We start from the raw sequence: 5,684 nt of genomic DNA, 5'->3' as shown, positions 1-5,684 counted from the left end.
CCTAAGAGGTAGTTATTGCTTCTTACATTTTACAGAAGACAAAACTGAGGCTCAAAGAACTTGGGTGGAGTTTATGACCTTGCATGAGATCATAAAGAAGTTATGGGCACAGCTGGGGTCTTTGGATCACCTGGTTGGTCAACTTTGCCTGACACCATCTAATCTACTGGCCACAGGTAGTGACCCCAGCTTGATTCTTCTCAAATGCAAATATGGCAATGCATATTTTGTTTGAAACTTCATTACTGTTCCTTCATCTGAATGATGACTTCTGACAACATTGGAATATAGTCCCAGCCCCCTCTTTGGCCACTGTCCACACACACACCATGTGTAATCTGCCCCCAGTCAAGGTAACCTGTGCAGAAGCAGCTGTTTGTTCTGCATGTCTCCAGGGGTCAGCATTGGGATGTTTCATAAGCTTAAGGTTTGGACTTAATAGCTATGAAAGTGAGTGAGCTCCCCATTACTGGAGGTATGCAAACAAAACAGATCAAGCATCTTTTTGTCAGGGAAGCCGGAGAGAAGATTCATACAACAGGTGCTGGTGGAGGGGGAATGAGATGATTCTGAACTGCTCACCATCAGATCATGATGGGGAGAGAATATTGAAAATGCAGGTTTCTGGGTCACACCCTTGAAGATTCTTATTCCATAGGTAGGTGTGAAGTTCAGACACCTACATTTTATATGAAAATGCCCCCAAAGTATTAACTGCAGATTTCCCACAACATCTGAGGTCCCTGCTAGCTCAGTAATCAGCCAACCCCAAGCCCATTTCTTTAGGGTGAATGTTGTCATGTCAGTCACAGAGCCAGGCAACACATACTCTGCACAGTCAGCTGAACTGGGGTGGATGGGGCAACAAGGCAGAGTCCTGGGTTCTAGTCCCACTTGGGACACCAAGCCTTGTCCCAGGACCAAGGGGGGAAGACATGGGCACAGGTGGGGGCCACCAGGGCTGATCCTCTGTTTTCTGAACAGTGTAACAGGAAGACATAAGTTCAAATCCACACTCCAGAGCTGTGTGACCCTGAGGTAAGTTATTTCAATATCCAACTATTTCCTCACCTGTAAAGTTGGTAAAATAGTACACAGGCCTACCATTCCTCATCCAGATCTTTTAGGGCCAGGCCTTGTTCATATTTCAGAGAAGTCTCACCACCAGCAGCTGGGGCAGTGCCAGCCTTTCTGCAACAGATTGTGCTGGCTCCCAGTCCAAGGGTTCATGAAGACCTCAGAGTGCCTCTTGTCAGGTGAGGTCAGGATTTGCCGCCAAATGCATTCCAAAAATACTTGAAGTTTTCAGAGCTTTACGGATTATAGATTGAGAATGACGGATTGGATCTACCTAAGAAAGTTCCTTGTGAGGATTAAAGTAATCCTGTATATGAAGTGTTGGGCATATGGCAACTACTCAATAAATGTTAGCTGATTTTTATCATCATTAGCAGTGGTGCTTCAAGTAGTAAAATGCTTAGTACAAATGCTTTATATATAGTAAACACTGGTTAAAATAAGTTTTCTGTAATTATTATTACACGTTTCCACCAGTGCCCAATTTTGCATGCTCCCCATTGCTTCTGCAATGACTAACAACAAAGGCAGAAGAGCTGCTGGTCCCAGAGATGTGAGTGTTGAAGGAGCAGCACCTGTGGTCTGGGGATCTTTCTGATCTCTGCAGAGCTCACTTCCTCCAATCACGTGCTAGACCTAGCTAGTTCCCTCCCACTCCCCATTCAGTTCAGCGAGGTCCTTCTGTTTCGTAAACTGGATATTAAAAACAAATGTACCTAATTAGAAATAAAACGTTCCCAACCAGCTCGAAATAAAATAAAATGTAATTACTAATGATATTTAAATGTTGTAGATATTTCATTTTTTAAAAATCCCCTTAATTTAAAATGAAGTATGACTTTAATTTAGTCGAGAAAACATTAAGCGTAGAGGAAAGTGATCTGGCTTTTGCCGAACGTCTTCTTCTGCTGCCTAAGAAGGAAGATGGGGGTTTCCTAGAGCATCCTTGGCCAGGGAAATTGGCATGAAGGTTGTTTTTTTTCTCTGTGTATGTGGTGGGGGCGGTGGGGCGGGGGGCGGTGGTTAGTGTCTTCCAGGGGGCCCTGAATTTTCTATAGGGATTGTAGACCTATTCCTTGGGTAGGAGACAAAGTTCTTACAGAGATTTTTATATAGATCAAGGTTTGTGTCCTGTCTCTGTCTTTAACACACGATTTGGGCAGCTCCCTGCACTTCTTCATGCCTCAGTTCCTCCTCCAAAAGGGAGCATGCTAACCTCTACTAGGGAGAAGTTTAATGAGGTTACATGATGTAACTATCTCTGGACTATAGGCAACACTTTTGATATGAGAGCAAATGTTACCAAAATGCTTGTGCTGTCACTTTCCCTGTAAACTTCATGAGGACTGGGACCACGTTGATATTTTTTTTGTTTTGTGTTTAACCCGGTGCCTGGTGCCCAGTAAAGGCTCAATAATTGCATGAATAAATCTATAGATGAATGACTGACCATGTATAGGGTGTTAAGGTTGGGAGAAGTAATACAGATCATCTAGTATATCCCTACCGAACATTTGAAGCCCATGTGTATACAGTGATTGACTACTTTCTGCTTGTTTGCCTCCAGGGATGGGGAGCTCTCTACCACATGCCCATAGCCAATTTCAGCTTTGAAGAGTTCTGGCCCTGGAAAGTATGCCTTACACTGGCCCCTTCTATGTTCTATATGTTGTGCCTCTCTGCCCTCGGGGGCCACAGGATGGAGCCCCAAGACAGTGATTAATAGACTTGTCATTTCATAAAATACTTGTTCATCAACTGGGATGTCAGGGCCATATGATGGTGGTTGCAATGTGAGCCCGGGAGCAGGCTGTCACAATTCAAACCCAGGCCCTGCCACTCACCAGCTATGTGATAGAGGAGAACCTCCCGTGAGGCCTTAGGCAGGTTATCTGGCCTCTCTGAGCCTCAGTTTCCTCATCTGTAACTGGGTGGTCAAGAGAGATTCAGTCTCTGCTCATGGTATAACCAAATCTCACAGACTGTTGTAAGCGGGTGTTGTTGGGAGCTTTTGACAGTTGACTGAGGGAGCTGGCCCATAGTGGGGTGGCAACCAAGGAAGCTAGCCCCCACGTCTTCACTTCCAGCTGAGCAGCCCTGCAAAGCTCTCCTCCTGCTATGGAGTGTTCCAGATCCCACAGCCTGTCAGCCAACCTGCTCCTGACCTGTCCTGGGCCTGTGAGTTTCATGAGGGAGATGGTCCCTCCAAAGCCAGTTTGTCTGAGTTCATCACAGAATAAACATGTTCCACTGAGTTAAATCACTGTTTTGTTTTGTTAGTGGGGAGGGGTCGCTCCTGCTAAGCCACACTCATCTCTCGCTTGGACTCTTGCAGCAGCCACTTCCGTCCTTGCCTGACTGTGGTTTGCTTCCCCCTCATCAGCCTGCTGGGTCTTGTTATAATGTGGATCTTGCACAAAACCCTTGGATGGTGAACACCCAAGGCGTTTCTCAGTCCTCCAGGGCCCTACGTGCTCTGGAGACCTCATTGTCTTCACCTCCTAGCACCTTCCCTCTCCCCTCGTGCCCACCCTACTCCAGCTCCACTGGCCTCCTGCTATTCCTTGTTTGTGCCAAGCACCTCTGTCCTGCCTCAGGGCCTTTGCACCTGCTGCGCCTGCAGCCTGGGACACTCTTCTTGGTTCTGTACATGGTTTGCTCCTTCATTCAGGTCTTGGCTTAAATGCCCCACTTCATGGAGAGTGTCCCTGAACTCCTTTTGGCTAAAAACTGGCACATATTTGTCACTTCCTGCCTTTTGTCTTGCTTGATTTGCCTCTCACAGTATATTATCTGTCTATTGTTTCTTGTTTCTCCTCTCCCAATGACTGGCTGCAATTGTCATGACTCCTGAGTTGAAGTAGGTCAGAGAGAGAGAATAGCTCTGTGCTTGGAACCACAGGCTCTATCTCTGGCACATCCTTGCTGTGTGTCCTTAGGGAAGTTACCTGGCCTCTCTGAGCCTCAGTTTCCTCATCTGTGAAATATAGATGTGCAAATCTCTTAGGGCTGGATCAAGATTAGTCTTGATGCATGCCAAGTCCTTGGCATGAAGTAAGGATTCTATAGATGTGAGCCACTCCTCTCATCCCTTGCTTGAGTGGGTAGAGGTGACACTCCAGCTAACTCAGGCTTGGCGTCTAACAAAACGCTCACTCCTAGCAATGGGCTTCGCTTGCAGCCCATTGGCCTACCTGGGTCATAGTAGGTGCTCAAAAAACATGTTGTTGGAGGAATGATGGGACTGTCTAAAAACACCAATGGATCTGCCCCATGCGAGACTCTCAGTACAACTTTGCTTTGAGGTACCCAGGAGTCTCTGAGAACTAAAAAGGGGCAGCTTCAAGATGAAACAGTTTGGAATTGATTGCCATGGTTACATCACTGACATCATCATTATTTTTCAGAGCAAATTCCCCCCCTTTTTTTTTCTTGAAGTTGGGAAAGCAGGAATGGCCTTTCTTTGCCTAATCATGAAAGTCCTATATTGTAACTGTGGAGTGGTCAGTTAACATGAAATATGTAAAAAGGTAGAAAACAAAAATCTCCTGCCACTTAGGGAAAGCCACCAGAATGCTTTGACACAAGTTTTTCTAATTCCTTTTTTTAATGTACTTAAACATTAGTGAGTTCATATTGTATGCATACTTTTATAATATATACGAATTATTTTATTTTATCTTAAATTCAACATGTGTAAGGATAGAAAGGAAAAAAACCTAACACTTTTTTCCTATTCTGTCTCATCACTAATACAGCACAGCACCCCTGGTCACCAGAATGTTCAGAGATTTCTGCCCTCCTGGAACCAATTATTTCTCTAGCACATTCTCTGATGGACACCAGCTAGGTATCCTCTAATTCAACCGAATTCTGACACTGTCTACCTGGAGATAGTGTCAGATCCCAGAGGGTGAGGGCTCCATTCGCCACGTCAGATGCTAGTCACAGGTTCAGGCCTCTGGAGCTTCTGACCTGCTGTCTATAAACTTGGGTTCCCATGAATCCCTTTCCGGGTTCAATTAATTTGCTAGAGCAGGCTCACAAAACTTGGGGGGAACATGTGATTTATGTTTACCAGTTTATTATAAAGCATATTACAAATGACACAGATGAACAGTCTGATGAGGTGATGCATAGGGCAAGGCACGTGGAAAGGGGCACAGAGCTTCCATGCCCTCGCCTGGGTGTACCACCCACAAGGACCCTGCATGTGTTCAGCTATCTGGAAGCTCCCAGAACCCAGTCCTTTGGGATTTTTATGGAGGCTTCATTACATAGTTTTTAATTGATTAAATCATTGGCCATTTGTGGCCAACTCAATCTTCACCCCCATTTTCCTTCCAGGAGGTTGGTGGGGGTGAGGCTGAAAGTCTCAACCCTCTAATTATGTCTAGGTCTTTCCTGGCCTCACCTTGAAGGTATTTAGAGGTAGCCAGCCACGAGTCATCTCATTAGCATACAAAAGACACTCATAACTCCAGAGCTTCCAGGGGTTACAGGAGCCTTATGCCAGGGACAACCAAATATATTTCATAATATCACAACATGTAATTAAACATTTACAATGTGCAAGGCAATTTTTACCTTTGAGGAGTAAAAGAAAT

The 5,684-nt window shown here is 45.2% G+C and overlaps 2 annotated features.

The window, feature by feature from the left end:
• Positions 1,498–1,792: a silencer, noted in NCBI's record as "tiled region #9271; HepG2 Repressive non-DNase unmatched - State 24:Quies, and K562 Repressive non-DNase unmatched - State 23:Low". NCBI's record gives its function as "represses a minimal TATA promoter and a strong SV40 promoter by Sharpr-MPRA in HepG2 and K562 cells {active_cell/tissue: HepG2 | K562}" and the evidence as "EXISTENCE:reporter gene assay evidence [ECO:0000049][PMID:27701403]".
• Positions 4,968–5,137: an enhancer, noted in NCBI's record as "experimental_63206 CRE fragment used in MPRA reporter constructs". NCBI's record gives its function as "activates a minimal promoter by MPRAs in K562 erythroleukemia cells, with activity observed for both the introgressed and non-introgressed 22:27722249 variant alleles {active_cell/tissue: K562}" and the evidence as "EXISTENCE:reporter gene assay evidence [ECO:0000049][PMID:34662402]".

Source organism: Homo sapiens, chromosome 22 (assembly GCF_000001405.40).
Source record: "Homo sapiens chromosome 22, GRCh38.p14 Primary Assembly".
Lineage (NCBI taxonomy): Eukaryota > Metazoa > Chordata > Mammalia > Primates > Hominidae > Homo > Homo sapiens.
The sequence above is the reverse complement of the archived record's forward strand: the minus strand, read 5'-3'. Positions and strand labels throughout refer to the sequence as shown.